Source organism: Homo sapiens, chromosome 19, assembly GCF_000001405.40.
Source record: "Homo sapiens chromosome 19, GRCh38.p14 Primary Assembly".
Taxonomy (NCBI): Eukaryota; Metazoa; Chordata; class Mammalia; order Primates; family Hominidae; genus Homo; species Homo sapiens.
In genome coordinates, this window is record NC_000019.10 from 13,774,284 (window position 1) to 13,795,010 (window position 20,727).

The 20,727-nt window shown below is 51.7% G+C and overlaps 1 protein-coding gene across 1 annotated transcript, besides 5 other annotated features; it reads left to right on the forward strand.

The window, feature by feature from the left end:
• Nucleotides 4-203: an enhancer, noted in NCBI's record as "active region_14135". NCBI's record gives its function as "activates an Ori minimal core promoter by ATAC-STARR-seq in GM12878 lymphoblastoid cells {active_cell/tissue: GM12878}" and the evidence as "EXISTENCE:reporter gene assay evidence [ECO:0000049][PMID:35858748]".
• Nucleotides 173-4,490, forward strand: C19orf53 (chromosome 19 open reading frame 53). Its single transcript, NM_014047.3, has 3 exons — nucleotides 173-291; nucleotides 369-424; nucleotides 3,769-4,490. Exons 1-3 carry the CDS (start codon nucleotides 195-197, stop codon nucleotides 3,913-3,915), a joined length of 300 nt encoding a protein of 99 aa, NP_054766.1. The 5' UTR covers nucleotides 173-194; the 3' UTR covers nucleotides 3,916-4,490.
• Nucleotides 180-709: an enhancer, noted in NCBI's record as "H3K27ac hESC enhancer chr19:13885277-13885806 (GRCh37/hg19 assembly coordinates)". NCBI's record gives its function as "activates a minimal SCP1, AML or CMV promoter by ChIP-STARR-seq in primed H9 embryonic stem cells {active_cell/tissue: H9 hESC(primed)}" and the evidence as "EXISTENCE:reporter gene assay evidence [ECO:0000049][PMID:30033119]".
• Nucleotides 710-1,238: an enhancer, noted in NCBI's record as "H3K27ac hESC enhancer chr19:13885807-13886335 (GRCh37/hg19 assembly coordinates)". NCBI's record gives its function as "activates a minimal SCP1, AML or CMV promoter by ChIP-STARR-seq in primed H9 embryonic stem cells {active_cell/tissue: H9 hESC(primed)}" and the evidence as "EXISTENCE:reporter gene assay evidence [ECO:0000049][PMID:30033119]".
• Nucleotides 11,576-12,537: an enhancer, noted in NCBI's record as "H3K4me1 hESC enhancer chr19:13896673-13897634 (GRCh37/hg19 assembly coordinates)". NCBI's record gives its function as "activates a minimal SCP1, AML or CMV promoter by ChIP-STARR-seq in primed H9 embryonic stem cells {active_cell/tissue: H9 hESC(primed)}" and the evidence as "EXISTENCE:reporter gene assay evidence [ECO:0000049][PMID:30033119]".
• Nucleotides 13,602-13,891: an enhancer, noted in NCBI's record as "active region_14136". NCBI's record gives its function as "activates an Ori minimal core promoter by ATAC-STARR-seq in GM12878 lymphoblastoid cells {active_cell/tissue: GM12878}" and the evidence as "EXISTENCE:reporter gene assay evidence [ECO:0000049][PMID:35858748]".

The window sequence follows — 20,727 nt, forward strand, 5'->3', positions numbered from 1 at the left end:
CGTTTTGTTCGTAATGTTTGAAAACTCCAACTGTGATCCACTACACTACCCTTGTGGGATGCTGTCTCTTTAACTCTGTGCCACGTTGTATCCCGTGAGTTCTTGCGTTTTTCCGCCCCGCTGTATCCCATGGTTCCCTGTGCCTTCCGGCTACGACTGCTCACAGTCCCGCCTCTTCCGCTGCGTGCCGGACCATGGCGCAGGGGCAGCGCAAGTTTCAGGCGCACAAACCCGCAAAGAGTAAGACGGCAGCGGCAGCCTCTGAAAAGAATCGGGGCCCAAGAAAAGGCGGTAAGGAGCGGCCCGGGGACTTGGGGGCGAGGTGGACCCCCGGCTTCCCGGCCTCACGTGAGCACATCTTTCCCCAGGTCGTGTTATCGCTCCCAAGAAGGCGCGCGTCGTGCAGCAGCAAAAGCTCAAGAAGGTGTGCGGGGGCGAGAGATGGAGCCCGGAGGGCGGCGAGTAGCGAGGGGTGGAACCCGGAGGACGGCGAGGGGGGATGGGTGGAGCCCGGGGATCAGTGAGGGGAGAGGGTGGATCCTGGGGACGAGCTAGGAGCGAGGGGATAGAGCCAGGGGCCGCGTTAGGAGCGAAGGATGGAGCCCGGGGCGCAGAGAGGGGTAAGAGGTGGAAGCTGGCGAGGGATAGGGGCTGGGGGACGTGCTAGGGACGAGAGATGAAATCTGGAGGCCGGCGAGGGAAGGAGCACAGGGATCGGCAAAGGGCAAGGGATGAGGCCTGGAGGACTCCCAGCTCTGTGGGCCTCCCTTTTCTTCCTTGTGCAAGGGGTGCAGGAACACCACTTACCACTTCAAAAGGGCCTCGTAGAAGCAAGACCTGCGGCCCAAAAAGGGTTCCAATAACGTCAGCCTCTTGCTGTTACTGTTTTCTTTAATTGAACTCAGGAAGACAGCGAGGTGACATGGGAAGGGAATTGAAAGCCCAGCTTTGTAAACCTAGAACAGCAGAGGGCTCAAAGAAGTGTGAGGGTGCGTTGGTTATCGTCATTTTTTTTTGAGTCAGGGTCTCACTGTTGCCCAGGCTGGAGTGCAGTGGCCCCATTATAGCTCACTGCAGCCTCAGCCTCCTGGACTTAGGCAATCTTTCCGTCTCAGCCTCTCGAGTAGGTAGAATTGCAGGTGCTCGCCAATACGCGGCTAATTTTATTTTTTTTGTATTTTTGGTAGAGACAGGTTTCACTATGCTGCTCGGGCTGGTCTTGAACTCCTGGCCTCAAGGCATCCTCCCGCCTCTGCCTCCCAAAATGCTGGGATTACAGGCGTGAGCCACCCTATGGTTGTTTTTAAGTGCAACATTTATATGTAGATGGGTAAGGTTGAGCTTGTAAAGAAGTTGGAAGGAGATTTAAAACTGGTTTTGGTGGGAGTCAAACCTGGGTTTGAATTGTACTCCACAGTAAACAGCCCTGTGATCTTGAGCAAATTGTTTCGTCACCCCAGAGTGTCGGTTTTCTCAGAACTGGGTACCCACTGGCCCGCTTACCTCCGTGGAGTGGGGAATCTCATGGTCACCTTGCACTCAGCATGTCCAAAACCAAATTCCTGATCCTCCCTTCCCATTCTGCCCTCCTCCCCCTGTGATCACTTCCTTCCAGATGCCATAGGTCATCCTTGAATCCCTCCTTTCTCTCACATCCCGGTCTCATCCCATTTGTTTTGTTTTGTTTTTTTGAGATGGAGTCTCGCTCTGTCGCCCAGGCTGGAGTGCAGTTGAGTGATCTTGGCTTAGGTGCAACCTCTGCCTCCTGGGTTCAAGCGATTTTCCTCCCTCAGCCTCCCGAGTAACTGGGATTACAGGCCTGCACCACCACACCGGGCTAATTTTTTTTTTTTTTTTTTTTTTTTTTTGTAATTTTAGTAGAGATGGGGTTTCACTATGTTGGCCAGGCTGGTCTCGAACTCCTGACCTCATGATCTACCCGCCTCGGCCTCCCAAAGTGCTGGGATTACAGGCATGAGCCACTGTGCTCGCCCCTATTTTGCCCTTAGAATCAATCCAGAATCCACCCGCCTCCCATCTTCTTGGCCCCTACCTGGTCCCACCCACATCATTTCCCACCGGGACCAGTGCAGCCACCTTCTCCCTTGTCTCCTGGATCCCACCTGGTCCTCTCACAGAAGCCAGAGGGTGCCCATGAGCACCTGAGTCGGTTCCCTCCCTCCTTGGCTCAGAATCCTCCATGGCTTCCACCTCACCCAGGAAAAAGGTCCAGTCCTCACTCAGCCACAAGGCCCTGTAGAATCTGCCCTCGTCTCCTTCCACCCTCTCCTCTGCTAACTCCCTCTAGCCTTACTGGCCCCTGACCCCTCCTTCCCGGAGCCCTTCCTGGGCTCCTTGTCCCACCTGAGAACTTTTGCACTGGCTGTTTCCTCTGCCTGGATTCCTCTCCCAATAATACACACTGCTCCCTTCTTCCAACTCTCTTCAAAGAGGCCTGCCTTGATGGTGACCTGTACCCATCCCTCCTCACTCCTGTTTCCTCTTTGCCATAGCAGCGCTTACCATCCTTTAACAGTGTAACATATTACGCTACTGATGCTTATATTGTCCCGGTACATGCACTGAATTCCAGCTCCATGACCCCTGCATCCAGGCACCTGGTTAGCTGTCCCGATGCTGGTGATCGTGGTCATTGGAACTGTTTTTGTTTTTTGTTTTTGTTTTGAGATAGAGTTTCGTTCTTGTTGCCCAGGCTGGAGTGCAGTGGTGCGGTCTGGGCTCACTGCAACCTCTGCCTCCTGGGTTCAAGCAATTCTCCTGCCTCAGCCTCTCGAGTAGCTGGGATTACAGGCGCCCGCCACCACACCTGGCTACTTTTTGTGTTTTTAGTAGAGATTGGGTTTCACCATGTTGGCCAGCCTGGTCTAGAGCTCCTGACCTCAGGTGATATGCCTGCCTTGGCCTCCCAAGGTGCTGGGATTACAGCCACTGCACCCAGCCGGAACTTTTTTTTTTTTCTTTGAGACGGTCTCACGCTGTCCCCCAGGCTGCAGTGTAGTGGAACGATCATAGCTCACTGCAGCCTGGACCTCCTGGGCTCGACCACCCAAACAGCTGAGACGAGAGGCACGCACCAGCACACCGTGCTAATTCTTTCTTTTAGTACAGATGCAGTCTCGCTGTGTTGCCCAGGCTGGTCTCGAGTTCCTGGGCTCAAGTGATCTTCCTGCCTCAGCCTCGCAAAGTGCTGGGATCACAGGCTTGAGCCACCACACCCAGTCCGTCGGAACTCAGAATGGCAGGGCAGAGGCAGTCTGGGAAAGGCGACTGAGCCACCAGTTTGGGGTTCACACTGCTGGTTTTGCCCCACGCTTGTGCCTTACTTGCCAGCTCCCTTGCCCACTCTTCAGATCCTCAGCTTGCCGTCTGCAAAGCAGAGATGACCTGGGGCAGAGGAGGCTGCCCTTCTAGAGGCTGGGACCAGAGGCTGTGGGCACGCCGGATCCCATGCAGTTTAGGGACCTGGGCAACCAGTGCCTCCTGGCTGCAGCAGACTGTTTCCCCATCCATAAAATGGGCATGAGCAGAGGTTTAGAAGCCAAGGTGCAGAAGTGAGGATTTTTGTGTGTGTGGAGGCCCCGGAGAGTGCAGGACTTAAACCCCAGCCACCAGACCCACAGTCAGGTGCGGTTCGAGGGGATAGTTGCTGATCTAGCCCCCTGCGAGCTCTAGCCAGGAAGAGGGTGACTGGTCAGGCCCTCTCTCAGCCCCAGGTCACAATCTGACTGCCCCGTGCTTCTCCCTCAGAACCTAGAAGTCGGAATCCGGAAGAAGATCGAACATGACGTGGTGATGAAAGCCAGCAGCAGCCTGCCCAAGAAGCTGGCACTGCTGAAGGCCCCAGCCAAGAAGAAAGGGGCAGCTGCCGCCACCTCCTCCAAGACACCTTCCTGAGGACGCTGGCCCCAGTGCAGGCCAACATCCCACCCCCTACCTCCATATGGGACCTTGCAAGTCATCCCACAGGCTGCACTGTCAGGAAGAGGACCCTGTCCCCCAGCACTGGGCTTCACCTAGAACTTCAGTGGGGGCCAAGGGTGCTGAGAACCCAGCAATGACCAGGAAGATACAGTCACTAACTTCATCTGTCCCCGTGCCCCTTCCCAGGTCCTGCCTCCACAGGTTTAACCCAGAACAATAAACCTGGCTTTGTCATCCCTCTTGCAGTCCTGTGTTCGGGTGAGCAGGCCAGGTGAGCCCACAAGTCTCCATGAGTGACGTGGCCTGGCGTGCTCCACCCCACCCCACCGCCTTTAGCAACCATGTGCCCAGGGGACAGCTGGGCTTCTACACCTCTGGCCCTGAGCCTGAGAGCCGGGAAAGAGTCTTTTCTCCATTTAACCCCGGGTGACTCACTCCCTGGCCAGTCCTCACCCCTGGGGACACAACCAGAGTCAAGCTGGACATCAGTAGGTCAGATGCCACCTCACAGGACCAAGGTGCCGATTAAACCGGAATACATTCAGAAACCACGTGGTACTACCTGGTTAAAGAGTGCCAACTGTAAGGTAGTCAGGACAGCCAGTGGTAGCACTACCTATGAGCCAGGCCGCACTGTCGCCCAGGCTGGAGTGCAGTGGCACAATCATAGCTCACTTCAGCCTCCATCTTCCAGGCTCAAGCAATCCTCCCACCTCAGCCTCCCAAGTAGTTGGAACTACAGGCATGCACTGCCATGCCCAGCTGATTTATTGCTTTTTGTAGATGTGGGGTCTTGCTAAGTTGCCCAGGCTGGTCTCAACTTCATGGCCTCCAGCAGTCGTCCTGCCTTGGCCTCCCAGAGTGCTAGGATTACAGGTGTGATCCACCATGCCCCACAAGTTCTAATGCGTTATACATGTCATCTAGCAGGATGCCCTGTTCAGGTCCTGCATAATGTTCCAGAGTGGAATTGATCCCGTAGTTGGCAGAGTCCTGATCCGTGCTCTCAGCTGACCCTCTGGCTACCTGTCACTGTCAAGACCAGAATTCACTTCTGCCCATCCTGGAGTTCCTCCACCTCCAAATTGTTTGAGTCTGTTGTGCCACACAGTACCTATGGAATATTCTGGGATCTCTGGCCTGATAACCTTCCTTTTCTCCCTTCACTGGATCCAGGTCAAGGTCACAGCACAGGGAAAAGTTGGGCTGTAGTCTGGGTGATACTGAACTGCTGTCTTTGGGGAGTGGTACCTGTGCATACAGTCAGCTTCTACCCTGAGACGGGGTGGGGTGACTGGTTCCCTAGTGGCTTATCCACTCCTGGCCACCTCACCTACCAAGGAGACAGAGGTGCTGGGTCACCAGCAGCTACCCCCAAACCCCATCTCAAGTGTGTTTTCTGGGTTCCACACAGTGACAGTCAAGATTTTGCCTTTTTTTTTTTTTTTTCAGACAGAGTCTTGCTCTGGAGTGCAGTGGCATGATCGTGGCTCACTGTTACCTCTGTGTCCCAGGCTCAAGCGATCCTGACACCTCAGCCTCCCAAGTAGCTGGGATTATAGGCATGTGCCACCACACCCAGATAATTTTTGTATTTTTAGTAGACACGGGGTTTCACCATGTTGACCAGGCTGGTCTCAAACTCCTGACCTCAAGTGATCCACCCACCTCAGCCTCCCAAAATGCTGGGATTACAGGCTATAAAGAGGGGAAAAACAGTTCAGTGGTTCTTCAGTAAGTTCATTGTGGAGCTACCGTATGACCCAGCAATTCCGCTCCTAGGTATATTCCCAGAAGAATGGAAGACATGTTCACTTGTAGATTTGCATATCCATGTAAATAGCAGCACTGCTCACAATAGCGAAAAGGTGGACACAGGCCAGGCGCAGTGGCTCATGCCTGTAATCCCAGCACTTTGAGAGGCTGAGGCAGGCCGATCACGAGGTCGAGTTCAAGACCTGCCTGACCAACAGGGTGAAACCCCGTCTCTATTAAAAACACAAAAATTAGGCCAGGTGTGGTGGCTTACACCTGTCATCCCAGCACTTTGGGAGGCCGAAGCGGGTGGATCATGAGGTCAGGAGATTGAGACCATCCTGGCTAACATGGTGAAACCCTGTCTCTACTAAAAATACAAAAAATTAGCCAGGTGTGGTGGCTGGCGCCTGTACTCCCAGCTACCTGGGAGGCTGAGGCAGGAGAATGGCGTGAACCTGGGAGGCGGAGCTTGCAGTGAGCCGAGATCGCGGCACTGCACTCCAGCCTGGGCAACACAGCAAGACTCCGTCTCAAAAAAAAACAAAAATTAGCCGGGCGTGGTGGTACACGCCTGTAATATCAGCTACTCAGGAGGCTGACACAGGAGAATCGCTTGAACCCGGGAGACCGAGGTTGCAGTGAGCGGAAATCGTGCCATTGCACTCGAGCCTGGGCGACAGAGTGAGACTCCGTCTCAAAAAAAAAAAGAAAAAATGGACACAGCCCACACATCCATCTACGGATGAAGGGATAAACTGAGGTCTATCCTTCAATAGAATATTCACCCTTGGGGAGGAAGGCCAAGTGCAGTGGCTCATGCCTGTCATCCCAACTACTTAGGAGGCTGAGGCAGGAGGATCACTTGAGCCTGGGAGTTGAAGGCAGCAGTGAGCTATGATCTCACCACTGCACTCCAGCCTGGGTGACAAAGCCAGATCCCGACTCTTAAAAAGGAATGAAGCACTGATCCAGGAAACTACAAGAATGAGCCTGAAAATAAACTAAGTGAACAAAGCGAGACACAAAAGGCTACATCTTGAATCGTCCCACTTACATGAAATGTCCCAAACAGGCAAATCCATGGGGGGAGAAAGCAGATGAGTGATTGCCAGGGGCTGAGGGAGCGGGAATGGGGTTTCTTTTCAAGGGGTATGAAAATGTCCTGGAGTCAGAAGTGATTGTACAACATTGTGATTATACTGAACTGTGCACTTTAAAATGGTGCATTAGGCCGGGCGTGGTGGCTCATAACTGTAATCCCAGAACTTTGGGGGGCCAAGGCCGGTGGATCACTTGAGGCCAGGAGTTCGAGACCAGCATGGCCAATATGGCAAAACCCCAACTCTACTAAAAATACAAAAATTAGCCGGGTATGGTGGTGAGTGCCTGTAATCCCAGCCACTTGGGAGGCTGAGGCAGGAGAATCACTTGAACCTGGGAGGCGGAGGTTGCAGTGAGCCAAGATGGTGCCATTGCATGTCAGCCTGGGTGACAGAGTGAGACATGGTCTCAAAAAATAATTAAAATAAAATGGTGAATTTTAGCACCACCACCCCTCCCCGCCCAAACATGCAGAGAGAAATTTCATTAAAAAGTCCTAACTTAGCATCTTGAAAAATCAGGAATCAGGGCAGTGGAAGCCGCACGCATGAGATGGAAAGACTGAGTAGTCTGGCGTTTCCCAAGCTGCCAGGAAGGCCCCGCCCTCATTGTTTCTGGAGGGGGAGGGAGGGGCTGGAGGATGAATGAGGCCCAGATCTCAGACTGAGGGATAAGGGTAGCTCTTTCCTTTCTGGGCTTCCCTTTCACAGCCAATCCCCGGCCTCTGTTCAGGGCTGGGGATTGGCTGTTCCAGCTTCCAGGGCACACATCCTTGAGCCCCATCTAGGGAACCTGGTTTCTCTGGCTGTCTGCCCACCTCAGGCAGTAATTGACTTCTGCCCTTGGTTTTGTTTTATTTTTTTTTTTATTTTTTATTTTTTTGAGATGGAGTCTCCCTCTGTCACCCAGGCTGGAGTGCAGTGGCGTGATCTCGGCTCACTACAACCTCCGCCTCCCGGGTTCAAGTGATTATCCTGCCTCAGCATCCCGAGTAACTGGGACTATAGGCACACACCACCACACTCGGGTAATTTTTTTTTAGTAGAGATGGGGTTTCACCATGTTGGCCAGGCTGGTCTCGAACTCCTGACCTCTGGTGATCTGCCCACCTCGGCCTCCCAAAGTGCTGGGATTACAGATGTGAGACACTGGGCATGAGCTGTTTTTTTTTTTGTTTTGTTTTTTGTTTTTTTGTTTTGGGAGATGGGGTCTCACTATGTTGTCCAGGCTGGTCTCAAACACTTCTACCTCAAGCGATCTTCCTGCCTTGGCCTCCCAAAGTGCTGGGATTACAGGCATGAGCCACCCAGCTGACTTAAGGCCTTTCAGGTAGGGCCACTTGGCTCATTCAGTATTTTTTTTTTTCAGAGCAGGAATGAAAGTTTATTAAAAAGCCTTAAAACAATAAGGAAAGGAAAGAAGGAAAGTATAACTTAGAAGAGGGCCAGACGGGTAACTTGAGAAACCAAGTTCTCCTTGTTCAGTACTTATTGTGATTACTTTTATATTTTTTTAGAGACAGCGTCTTGCTGTGTCGCGACTGCAGTGGTGAGATCATAAGTCACTGCAAACTCAAACTCCTACACTCAAGTGATCCTCCCACCTCAGCCTCCCTAGTAGTTGGAACCACAGGCATGCACCACCACGCCCAGCTAATTTTTTTATTTTCCGTAGAGACAGGGTCTCCCTATGTTGCCCCGACTGATTTTGGCCTCAAGCCATCGTCCCACTTCAGCCTCCCAAACTGCTGGGATTGTAGACATGAGCCACCACACCCAGCTATTGTGACTACTTCATGCCAACCTCTCTTCTAGGCAGAACTAAGAACTAACATTCAGGCTGGCCGTGATGGTTCACGCCTCTAATCCCAGCACTTTGGGTGGCTGAGGCAGGTGGATCACTTGAGGTCAGGACTTCAAGACCAGCCTGGCCAACATGGTGAAACCCTGTCTCTACTAAAAATACAAAAATTGGCCGGCATCGTGGCACACACCTATAATCCCAGCTACTCAGGAGGCTGAGGCAGGAGAATCGCTTGAACCCAGGAGGCAGAGGTTGCAGTGAGCTGAGATCATGCTACTGCACTCCACCTGGGCGGCAGAGCAAGACTCTGTCTCAAAAACACAAAACAAAACAAACCTGACATTCCAGTGACAACAGAAAAAAGAGACAACACCAAGTTTGTATCCCCTTCCCATCCAGGCCACAGTCCTCCCTGCCTTTGTGCCCACAGTTCCTTCCCCCGAGACATCACCTCAGAGAAGCCTTCTTTGTCCCCTGCCCCCAGAAGTGGCCTGTTTGATTGTCTTCTTAGCCAGGGTCACTTTCTGTTACTTTCCTCTGTTTCTACTTTGCTTCTCAAGGACCCCGACTCTGTTCGGGGCTGTGTCTCAAGCAACTAGAACAGCTCACAATAGGCACTCGATGAGCAGGTGTTTATTGAAGGAACGGTTCCTTCTAAAACCTTTTGTTTCAGTGAATGAGTTATGATTATTCAATGGTTCATTCAGCCCCTTAGCTATAAACAATACACCCTTCCTAAACAATACACCCTCTCCGGAGTACCTGATTCATATCATTGTCTTTGAACTATTTTACAACTCTGTAAGTTGTGAAAATTGATAGCAATACAAAATAGTTCTTATCTACAGACATGCAAATGTCATATCCTGTCCAGCCTAGAGGTTCAGTTGACAACGCTTATTCCCCTGTGGAAAACCGAATTTGCCTACATTCACACCTTTGCTTCAACAGCTTGATTTCTAAAGTGTCTTTTTCAAGGTCAGGCACCCTGGCTCACACCTGCAGTCCCAGCACTTTGTGTGTGTCTGTGTGTGGTTTTTGTTAATGATGATGATGTTTTTTAGATCGTCTCCCTCTGTCACCCAGGCTGGAGTGCAATGGCATGATCTCAGCTCAGGGCAACCTCCGCCTCCTGGGTTCAAGAGATTTTCCTGCCCCAGCCTCCCGAGTAGCTAGGACTACAGGCGCGCGCCACCACACCCGCCTAATTTTTGTATTTTTAGTAGAGATGGGGATTCACCATGTTGCCCAGACTGGTCTCGAACTCCTGACCTCAAGTGATCCGCCTACCTTGGCTTCCCAAAGTGTGGGATTACAGGTGTGAGCCACTGCGCCCAGCCTAATCCCAGCACTTTGGGAGGCGGAGGTGGGCAGATTGCTCGAGGCCAGGAGTTCAAGACCAGCCTGGGCAACATAGCAAGACCCTATCTCTGCAAAACATTTTTAAAAATTAGCTGGGTGTGGTGGGGCATGCCTGGAGTCCCAGCTACTCCAGAGACTGAACTGGGAGGGTCACTTGAGCACGGGAGGTTGGGGCTGCAATGAGCCCAAATCGCACCACTGCACTCCAGCTTGGGCGATGCAGCAAGGCCCCATCTCAAAAACAAAAGTGTCTTTTTCAGACTCTCTTGAACATAACATCTGCCTGTTTCCCACATCAGTGAAATTAAGAGAAAAACAAGGCTAGGTGTGGTGGCTCACATCTGTAATCCCAGCACTTTGGGAGGCCAAGGCAGGCAGATCACCTGAGGTTAGGAGTTCGAGACCAACCTGGCCAACATGGTGAAACCCCGTCTCTACTAAAAATAAATAGATTAGCCGGGCGTGGTGGCAGGCACCTATAGTCCCAGCTACTCATGAGGCTGAGGCAGAAGAATCGCTTGAACCCGGGAAACGAAAGTTGCAGTAAGCCAAGATCGTGCCATTGCACTCCAGCCTGGGCAACAGAGCAAGCTCTGTCTCAAAAAAAAAAAGAAAGAAAAAAAGAAGAGACAAAAAAACACAAAAAAGAAACAAAAAAAATTTCTGACCTGGCGAACAGGAAGAAAAAAACATTTTAGCACCCATTCATCTTTATATGTTAAGGGAGTGGTGATTTTGCCACCTTCAAAAAATTAGCTTCCGGTCTTTCTATCTGGAATCAGAAAGGCAAGGGCCAGGACGGGGTGGGCTCTGGGCCAGGACGGGGTGGGCTCTGGGTGCCATCTGGCACCGGAGTTGGACACCAGGAGGCGCCTCTAACCGGGGTTAAATCCACCCGCAGGCTGGTGGCGTCTCGACCAGCCCAGGAATCCTGCATTCTGGCTCCCTTTGTGCCTCTGACGCCAGCCCCTTCGAGGAGCACCCCAGGGGCAAGGAAGGGCTTTCAGGCACTGCAGGTATGGGGTCTGGAATGTGCACTCACCCATTCCCCCTTCACCTCTCCCCTCAGGGCTCCCCAAACAGCCTCATTTTCCCCTTCACTTTCCTGGGTGACTTTCCCCTCCTGCACTCCCCCAAGCCCTGATTAGTGCTGGAGCCAGGAGCCCCAGACTCCGGAAGAACCCACACCTTGAGTTCTTTGCCAGGTTCTGCCACTTTTTGACTGTGTGACCGTCAAGTCCCTTCACCTTTCTGAGTCTCAGCCTGGGGCCGTGGCTCATGCCTGTAATCTCAGCACTTTGGGAGGCTGAGGCCAGCAGATCACTTGAGGTCAGGAGTTCAACACCAGCCTGGCCAACATGAAGAAACCTCGTCTCTACCAAAAGTACAAAAATTAGCCGGGTGTGGTGGTGCGCGCCTGTAATCCCAGCTACTCGGGAGGCTGAGGCAGGAGAATCGCTTGAACCCGGGAGGCGGAGGTTGTAGTGAGCCGAGATCACGTCACTGCACCCCACCCCAGCCTGGGCGACTGAGTGAGACTCTGTCTCAAAAAACAAAACAAAACAAAACAAAACAAAACGGGAGGCTGAGACAGGAGAATCACTTGAACCTGGGAGGTGAAGGTTGTAGTGAGCTGAGATCATGTCACTGCACCCCACCCCAGCCTGGGCAACTGAGACTCTGTCTCAAAAAAAAAAAAAATTAAAACCTTTCTGAGCCTCAGTTTCTCTGTCTGTTACATTGGGATCCCCACTCCCCCTCAGTGTGAGTTCAGGAGCCTAAGAATAAGGGACATACCAATTTTTTTTTTTTTTTTTTTTTTTGAGATGGAGTCTCGCTCTGTCGCCCAGACTGGAGTGCAGTGGTGCGATCTCGACTCACTGCAAGCTCCGCCTCCCGGTTCACACCATTCTCCTGCCTCAGCCTCCGGAGTGGCTGGGACTGCAGGCACCCGCCACCATGCCCGGCTAATTTTTTGTGTTTTTTAGTAGAGACGGGGTTTCACCGTGTTAGCCAGGACGGTCTCAACTCCTGACCTCATGATCCGCCCGCCTCGGCCTCCCAAAGTGCTGGGATTACGGGCGTGAGCCACCGCGCCTGGCGGGACATACCAATGTGACTAGGAGCTGCGCTTGTGTGCTGGGGGCAGAGCAGTGGGAACCCAAGTCCTGCCATCCCCCGTCCTCTCTGTCCCTCCCTAGCTCCCCTCTCCCAGGGACAGAGGCGTCATTAAATGTGGCTTTTCCTGACAGTTATTGGCCGGGCGCTGTGGCTCACGCCTATAATCCCAGCACTTTGGGAGGCCGAGGCAGGTGGATCACCTGAGGTCAGGAATTCAAGACCAGCCTGGCCAATATGGCGAAACCCCATCTCTACTAAAAATACAAAAATTAGCCAGGCGTGGTGGCGGGCGCCTGTAGTCCCAGCTACTCGGGGGGCTGAGGCAGGAGAATCGCTTGAACCTGGGAGGCAAAGGTTGTAGTGAGCCGAGATCACGTCACTGCACCCCACCCCAGCCTGGGCGACTGAGTGAGACTCTGTCTCAAAAAAAAAAAAAAATTAAAGCCTTTCTGAGCCTCAGTTTCTCTGTCTGTTACATTGGGATCCCCACTCCCTCTCAGTGTGAATTCAGGAGCCTAAGGATAAGGGACATACCAATTTCTTTCTTTTTTTTTTTTTTTGAGACGGAGTCTTGCTCTGTCACCCAGGCTGGAGTGCAGTGGCGCGATCTCGACTCACTGCAAGCTCCGCCTCCCGGGTTCACACCATTCTTCTGCCTCAGCCTCCCGAGTAGCTGGGACCACAGGCGCCCGCCACCATGCCCAGCTAATTTTGTCTTTTTTAGTAGAGACGGGGTTTCACCATGTTAGCCAGGATGGTCTCGATCTCCTGACCTCGTGATCCGCCCGCCTTGGCTGGCGGCGGGGATTACAGTGCTGGCGGCGGGGATTACAGTGCTGGGATTACAGGCGTGTAATCCCATTACAGGGAGGCTGAGGCAGGAGAATCCAGCTTGAACCCAGGAGGTTCAAGCTGCTTGAACTCCTGCTTGAACCCAGGAGGCAGAGGTTGCAGTGAGTCAAGATCCGCCACTGCACTCCAGCCTGGGCAACAGAGCAAGCGAGACTCCGTCTCAAAAAAAAAATACTTTGGGAGGCTGAGGCGAGCGGATCACCTGAGGTTAGGAGTTTGAGACCTGCCTGACCAACATGGAGAAACCCTGCCTCTACTAAAAATACAAAATAAGCCTGGCGTGGTGGCACATGCCTGTAATCCCAGCCACTCAGGAGGCTGAGGCAGGAGAATCACTTGAACCCAGGAGGTGGAGGTTTCGGTGAGCCAACATCGCGCCATTGCACTCCAGCCTGGCCTGGGCAACAAGAGCGAAACTCCGTCTCAAAAAAAAACAACAACAAAAAAAAAAAACAAAAAAACACAGTTATTCTTGCCTAAGCCTTTCTCTCCTGCCTCCACCTTCCCCCGCCTCGACCTGGCACGACCACTTCTCCTGGCAGGGCCCTGACACTTTGCCCATGAACTTCTGTTTCAAAAAGAAAGAAAAGAAATGCAAGAAGGAAATCTTGCCAGCTGCGCATGCCGGAGGGGCTGCGTCGTCGCGACCAGGAAGCAAGCGAAGCCTACCCAGCTGGTTTCCTGCCTGAGTCAACGGTGGCTGGGGGTGCTGCAGGGGGCTGGCAGAAGGGAGGGACCCTCAGAAAGCTAGGGTGGAGATATCCACGAGCTGGGGGTCCTTGTCTCCACCTTCATCTGAGCCCCCAGGGTAGCCCCATCTTCCACGGGTTGAGAGCACACGTGGTTTGGGGTCAGGAGCTGTACATGCCTAGACAGTGAGCTCACGCTGGGCGCGGGCAGGATCAATCTGGCTTCCATTTCCCCAAAGCCCAAGCTTGCTGGCTTTACTGAGAAGGAAGGACGCAGGTGGTTGGAACTACCCCCATCAAACTCCTTTTTTTCCTCTTTTTTTTTTTTTTTTTTTTTTTTGAGACAAGAGTCTTGCTATATTGTCCAGGCTGGTCTTGAACTCCGAGGCATAAGCGATCCTACCTCCTCTGCCTTTCAAGTAGATGGGACTGGCTGGGCACAGCCCCTCACACCTGTAATCCCAGCACTTTGGGAAGCCAAGGTGGAAGGATCGATCGCTTGAGCCCAGGAGCTCAAGATCAGCCTGGCCAACATAGTGAGACCCCATCTCTTTTAAAAAAATTGTTTTAAAAAATTAGCCAGGCATAGTGCTACACGCCTGCAGTCTCAGCTACTCACGAGGCTGAGGCAGGTGGACCACTTGAGCCCGGGAGGTTGAAGCTGCAGCAAGTCGTGATCACGCCATTGCACTTCAACCCACGCAACAGAGCAAGACCCTGTCTCAAAACAGGGTTAGCTGTTTGAAGGCAGGGCGTAGTGGCTCCCACCTGTAATCCCAGCACTTTGGGAGGCGGAGGAGCGTGGATGACCTGATGTCAGGAGTTCGAGACCAGCCTGGCCAACATGGTGAAACCCCATCTCTACTAAAAATACAAAAATTAGCCGGGTTTGCCCTGTGATCCCAGCTACTCAGGAGGCTGAGGCAGGAGAATAGCTTGAACCCGGGAGGCGGAGGCTGTAGTGAGCTGAGATCGCTCCACTGCACTCCAGCCTGAGCAACAGAGCAAGACTCTCTCTCTGTCTGTCTCTCTCTCTATATATATATGTTAGTATCTATTGTTAGAGAATTAAATAAGACATTCTCACCCTCTGATACCCCATTCTGTGTTCCTCCTAAAGTCTACCCACTGGCCTAGAGTGACTTCTCTGATTCAGCATTACAGGACGTACATTGGAGCCCTTTCAAAGCTAGACTTAGCCGACATAGCCACGTATCAGATGCTGAAGAGGGCTGCTGGGAAAAGCCAGCCCTGAGGTCCTGTTTGCAAGGGGAGCACCAGAAAGACATGCTTTTCATTTTTGTTCTGTCTTGGTTTGTTTTTTCTTGAGACGAGGTCTGGCTCTGTCGCCCAGACTGGAGTGCAGTGGCGCAATCATGGCTCACTGCAGCCTCAACCTTCTAGGCTCAAGCAATCCTCCCACCACAGCTTCCTGAGTAGCTGGGACTACAGATGCGCACCACCACACCCGGTTAATTAAAAAAAAAAAAAATTTAGGCCAGGCACAGTGGCTCACACCTGTAATCCCAGCACTTTGGGAGGCCGAGGCAGGCAGATAACCTGAGGTCAGGAGTTTGAGACCAGCCTGGCCAACATGGTGAAACCCCGTCTCTAGTAAAAATACAAAAATTTTCTGGGTATAGTGGCGCTCGTCTATAGTCCCAGTTACTCGGGAGGCTGAAACAGGAGAATTGCTTGACCCTAGGATGTGGAGCTTGCAGTGACCTGAGACTCGCCACCGCACTCCAGCCTGGGCAACAGAGCAAGACTCCATTTCAAAATAAATAAATAAACTAATAAATAAATAGGCCAGGTGCAGTGGCTCACGCCTGTAATCCCAGCACTTTGGGAGGCCGAGGTGGGTGGATCACAACGTCAGGAGTTCGAGACCAGCCTGGCTAACACGGTGAAACACCGTCTCTATTAAAAATACAAAAAAATTAGCCCGGTGTGGTGGCACATGCCTGTAAACCCAGCTACTCGGGAGGCTGAGGCAGGAGAATCACTTAAACCCGGGAGGCAGAGGTTACAGTGAGCCAAGATCGCACCACTGCACTCCAGCCTGGGCTACACAGCAAGACTCCATCTCAAAAATTAAAAAATAAATAAATAAATAAACATCAAATAAATTTTTAGAAATGGGGGAGGGGGGTCTCGCTATATTGCCCAGCCTGGTCTTGAACTCCTGGACTCAAGCAATCCTCCCACTTCAGCTTCCCCAAGTGCTGGGATTACAGGTGTGAGCCACTGCACCCGGCCATCCTTTGCTTGAACTCCTCCCTGTGTCTCCTCTGACCCCAGTTACTCACTCCCCATAAGTCTAAATCCTATGCAAGGAGATACCCCAGTAAGTCTAGGGCTCCAAAGCAGCCCCCAGTTGACTTCCACTAGTCCAGCTCCTACTGCTGGGTGACCTCAAGCAAGTGGCTCAGCCTCTCCAAGCCTCAGTTTCCTCCTCTAAGAAATGGAAGTGACAGTCCCCACTTTGCAACACTGTTTGACGGCTTATACTTCAGCGTTTATCTCCATAGCTACGGGCATTGCATGAGCACTCAACACATTATTATTATTGCTATTTCTGTTGCTATCACTGTGGCAGGCTGTGGTTTCTCAAGACGGGCACTGTCTAACAGAAATACAACTCAAGCCGGATGTGGTGGCTCACGCCTGTAATCCCAGCAATCTGGGAGGCCGAGGCGGAAGGATTGCTTGAACTCAGGAATTCAAGACCATGGGCAACACAACAAGACTTCCTCTCTATCAAAATTCAAAAAAATTGGCCAGGCATGCTGGCTCACACCTGTAATCCTCACACTTTGGGAAGCAGAAGCAGGCAAATCACCTGAGGTCGGGAGTTCCAGACCAGCCTGACCAACATGGAGAAACCCCGTCTCTACTAAAAATACAAAAATTAGAAGGGCATGGTGGCGGGTGCCTGTAATCCCAGCTACTTGGGAGGCGAGGCAGGAGAATCGCTTGAACCCGGGAGGTGGAGGCTGCGGTGAGCCGAGATCACGCCATTGCACTCCAGCCTGGGCAACAAAAGCGAAACTCCGTCTCAAAAAAAAAAAAAAATTAACCAGGGATGGTGGCTCACGCCTGTAATCCCAGGACTTTGGGAGGCCAAGGCAGGTGGATCACTTGAAGTCAGGAGTTCGAGACCAGCCTGGCCAACATGGTAAAACCCCATCTCTATTAAAAATGCAAAAATTGGCCGGGTGTGGTGACGCACACCTATAGTCCCAGCTACTTGGGAGGCTGAGGCAGGAGACTTGCTTGAACCCAAGGTTCAAGTGAGGTTGCAGTGAGCCGAGATCGCGCCACTGCACTCCAGCCTGGTGACAGAGCGAGACTCCGGCTCAAAAAAAAAAAAAACAAAAAACAAAAAAGGAAAAAAAGAAAGAAATACAACTTGAGACACATATATACTTTTATTTATTTATTTATTTACTTATTTATTTTTGAGATAGCATCTCACTGTGTTGCCTAGCCCAGTCACAAACTCCTGGACTCAAGTGCTGCTCTCCGCTCAGCCTCCCAAAGTGCTGTGTTTACAGGGACCAACCACTGTGCCCTGCCACATATGTTATTTTATTTTATTTTACTTTATTTATTTATTTTATATATATATATATATATTTTTTTTGAGATGGAGTCTCACTCTTTCACCCAGGCTGGAGTGCAGTGGTGCGATGTTGGCTCACTGCAACCTCTGCCTCCCAGGTTCAAGCGATTCTCCTCCCTCAGCCTCCCACGTAGCTGGGATTACAGGCACGCACCACCATGCCTGGCTAATTTTTTGTATTTTTAGTAGAGACAGGTTTCACCATGTTGGCCAAGCTGGTCTTTTTTTTTTTTTTTCTTTTTTTGAGACGGAGTCTCGTTCTGTCGCCCAGGCTGGAGTGCAACACTGTGATCTCAGCTTACTTCAACCTCCACCTCCCGGGTTCACGCCATTCTCCTGCCTCAGCCTCCCAAGTAGCTGGGATTACAGGCACCCGCCACCAGGCCCAGCTAATTTTTTGTATTTTTAGTAGAGACGGGGTTTCACTATGTTGGCCAGGCTGGTCTCAAACTCCTGACCTTGCGATCCGCCCTCCTCGGCCTCCCAAAGTGCTGGGATTACAGGAGTGAGCCACCGCGCCCCGCCTAAGCTGGTCTTAAACTCCTGACCTCAGATGATCTGCCCGCCTCGGCCTTCCAAAGTGCTGGGATTACAGCCCTGAGCCACTGTACCCAGCCTACATACGTAATTTAAATGTCCTGAAACCATGTAAAAGAAAATATATGAAATCAATTTTAATAATGTATTTTATTAAACCAAGTTTATCTAAAATATAATTTCAACATGTTAACAACACTAAACATTTGCTTTCTTTTGTTCTGTCTTTTTTTTTTTTTTTTTGAGACAGAGTCTCACTTTGTTGCCCAGGCTGGAGTGCCGTGGTGCAATCTTGGCTCACTGCAAACTCCGCCTCCTGGGTTCAAGTGATTCTCCTGCCTCAGCCTCGCAAGCAGCTGGGATTACAGGCGCCCGCCACCACGCCCAGCTGATTTTTGTTTTGTTTTGTTTTGTTTTGTTTTTTGAGGCGGAGTCTTGCTCTATTGCCCAGGCTGGAGTGCAGTGGCGCGATCTCAGCTCACTGCAAGCTCCACCTCCCGGGTTCACGCCATTCTCCTGCCTCAGCCTCCGGAGTAGCTGGGACTACAGGTGCCCGCCCCCACGCCAGGCTAATTTTTTTGTATTTTTAATAAAGACGGGGTTTCACCGTGTTAACCAGGATGGTCTGCATCTCCTGACCTCATGATCCGCCCGCCTCGGCCTCCCGAAGTGCTGGGATTACAGGCGTGAGCCACTGTGCCCGGCCCTAATTTTTGTATTTTTAGTAGAGACGGGGTTTCACCATGTTGGCCAGGCTGGTCTTGAACTCCAGACCTCAGGTGATCCGCCTGTCTCAGTCTTCGAAAGTGCTGGGATTACAGGTGTGAGACACCTTGCCCGGCCTCGTTTTCTGTTTTTTTGTTTGTTTGTTTGTTTTCCTGAGACGGTCACACTGTCACTCCGGCTGGAGCACAGTGATACAATCATATCTCACTGTAGCCTGAACCTCTTGGGCTCGAGAGATCCTCCTGTCACAGCCTCCAGAGTAGCTGGGACTACTGGCTTGTGCCACCACGCCCAGCTGATTTTCTTATTTTTTAATAGAGATGGGTTTTCGCCATGTTGCCCATGCTGGTCTCAAACTCCTGGGCTCAAGTGATCTTCCCACCTCACCATCCCAAAGTGCTGGGATTCCAGGCGTGAACCACCGCGCCTGGCCAAAACATTCTTTTTTTTTTTTTTTTGGAGTCTCACTCTGTCCCCCAGGCTGGAGTGCAGTGGCGCAATCTTGGCTCACTGCAACCTCTGCCTCCTGGGTTCCCACCATTCTCCTGCCCTAGCCTCCCTAGTAGCTGGGACTATAGGCGCCTGCCACCATGCCCGGCTAATTTTTTGTATTTTTAGTAGAGAAGGGGTTTCACTGTGTTAGCCAGGATGGAAAACATTCTTAATGAAATATTTTAGGCCGGGCGTGGTGGCTCACGCCTGGAATCCCAGCACTTTGGGAGGCCAAGGCAGGCAGATCATAAGGTCAGGAGTTTGAGACCAGCCTGCCAATATGGTGAAACCCCGTCTCTACTAAAAATGCAAAAGTTAGTCAGGCGTGGCGGTGGGTGCCTGTAGCCCCAGCTACTTGGGAGGCTGAGGCAGAATAATCACGTGAACCTGGGAGGCAGAGGTTGCAGTGAGCTGAGATCACTCCATCTCAAAAAAAAAAAAAGAAATATTTTTCCTTGTTCCCTTCCTGCTATGTCTCCAAAATCCACTCTGTATTTTACCTTTCCAGCACAACCTAATTTCAGCCAGTCCCATTTCAAGGGCTCAGAGACCACTTGTGGCCATTGGTGACCATACTGGACAGTGCAGGTCTGCAGGGGAGTTTAACTAATTGAGGGGGTGGCAGGGAGAGTGGGTGAAGACTGGCCAGAGGGTGCAGCTGTGAGACTCGAAGTTTCTCCAAGAAAAAGCTAGGGCTTCCATATGGATGAGTGGATAATCACTGTTTTTTTTTTTTTTCTGCTGTGCCTATCATTTAACTGAATGGAGGCAAAGCATGTGTTGGTTGGTACATTCAACAAGTTCTAGGTTAAGCGCCTACCTTCCAGGTGCTGCCGGTACAGTAAAGCACAGATGGGACAAACTCCTGCCTCCTGAGGCTCACAGTGGAGAGGGAGAGATTGAAATTAAGCAACTACCAAAGGTGGATCACTTGAGGTCAGGAGTTCAAGACCAGCCTGGCCAACATGGCAAAACTCCGTCTCTACCAAAAATACAAAAATTAGCCGGGCGTGGTGGTGGGCGCCTATAATTTCAGCTATTCGGGAGGCTGAGGCAGGAGAATCACTTGACCCCGGGAGGCGCAGGTTGCAGTGAGCCGAGATCGCACCACTGCACCCCAGCCTGGACGACAAGAGTGAAACTCCGTAAAAAAAAAAAAAAAAAAAAAAAAAAAAACCGCCGAAACAGATAAATAAATGGTAATGGTGAGAAGTATGAGGAAGGAAAAATGCAGGGTCCTCTGAGGACATTGGCAAGGAGCCGGGACGGGAACGGGTGATGGAAGCCATGGCCAGCTTCCAGGCCAGAGACGGTGGCCTACACAAGCTGAGTCAGAAAAAATGCTCAGAGGTGCTGGGGTTTGATTAAGTGTTAGGGTGAACCTCATGGAATTGCCATTTTAACAGGCCAAAAATGGTAAAAAAAAATTAGCAATTTCATATGACCCAAGATAGTATCTAGGGCATGGAAAGGAGGGGCGGGGTACTATACTAGTTTTGAGGCTCAAGGGATGACCTATGAACCCCCTAACCGAGCTTTGTTTCTGGAGAGGGGGTCCGCGGCCCGCATGAGCTCCCTCAGTGAGCCTGCGACCCCTCCGCCCCCACAAGAACCAAAACTTGACCCGGTGCCCAGAGAGGTTGAGTGAGTTTCTCGGGTCGCACAGCTGGGAGGGACGAGGGGCTGAGCCACTGCCAAGGGATCCCGCTGCTCTGTCTC

Bases quoted from the DNA above. Each gene is read 5' to 3' on its own strand.
- C19orf53 (NM_014047.3), top strand. From the start codon at position 195: ATGGCGCAGGGGCAGCGCAAGTTTCAGGCGCACAAACCCGCAAAGAGT. The intron at 292-368 runs GTAAGGAGCGGC...ATCTTTCCCCAG, and splicing joins TCGGGGCCCAAGAAAAGGCG to GTCGTGTTATCGCTCCCAAG. The intron at 425-3,768 runs GTGTGCGGGGGC...CTTCTCCCTCAG, and splicing joins AGCAGCAAAAGCTCAAGAAG to AACCTAGAAGTCGGAATCCG.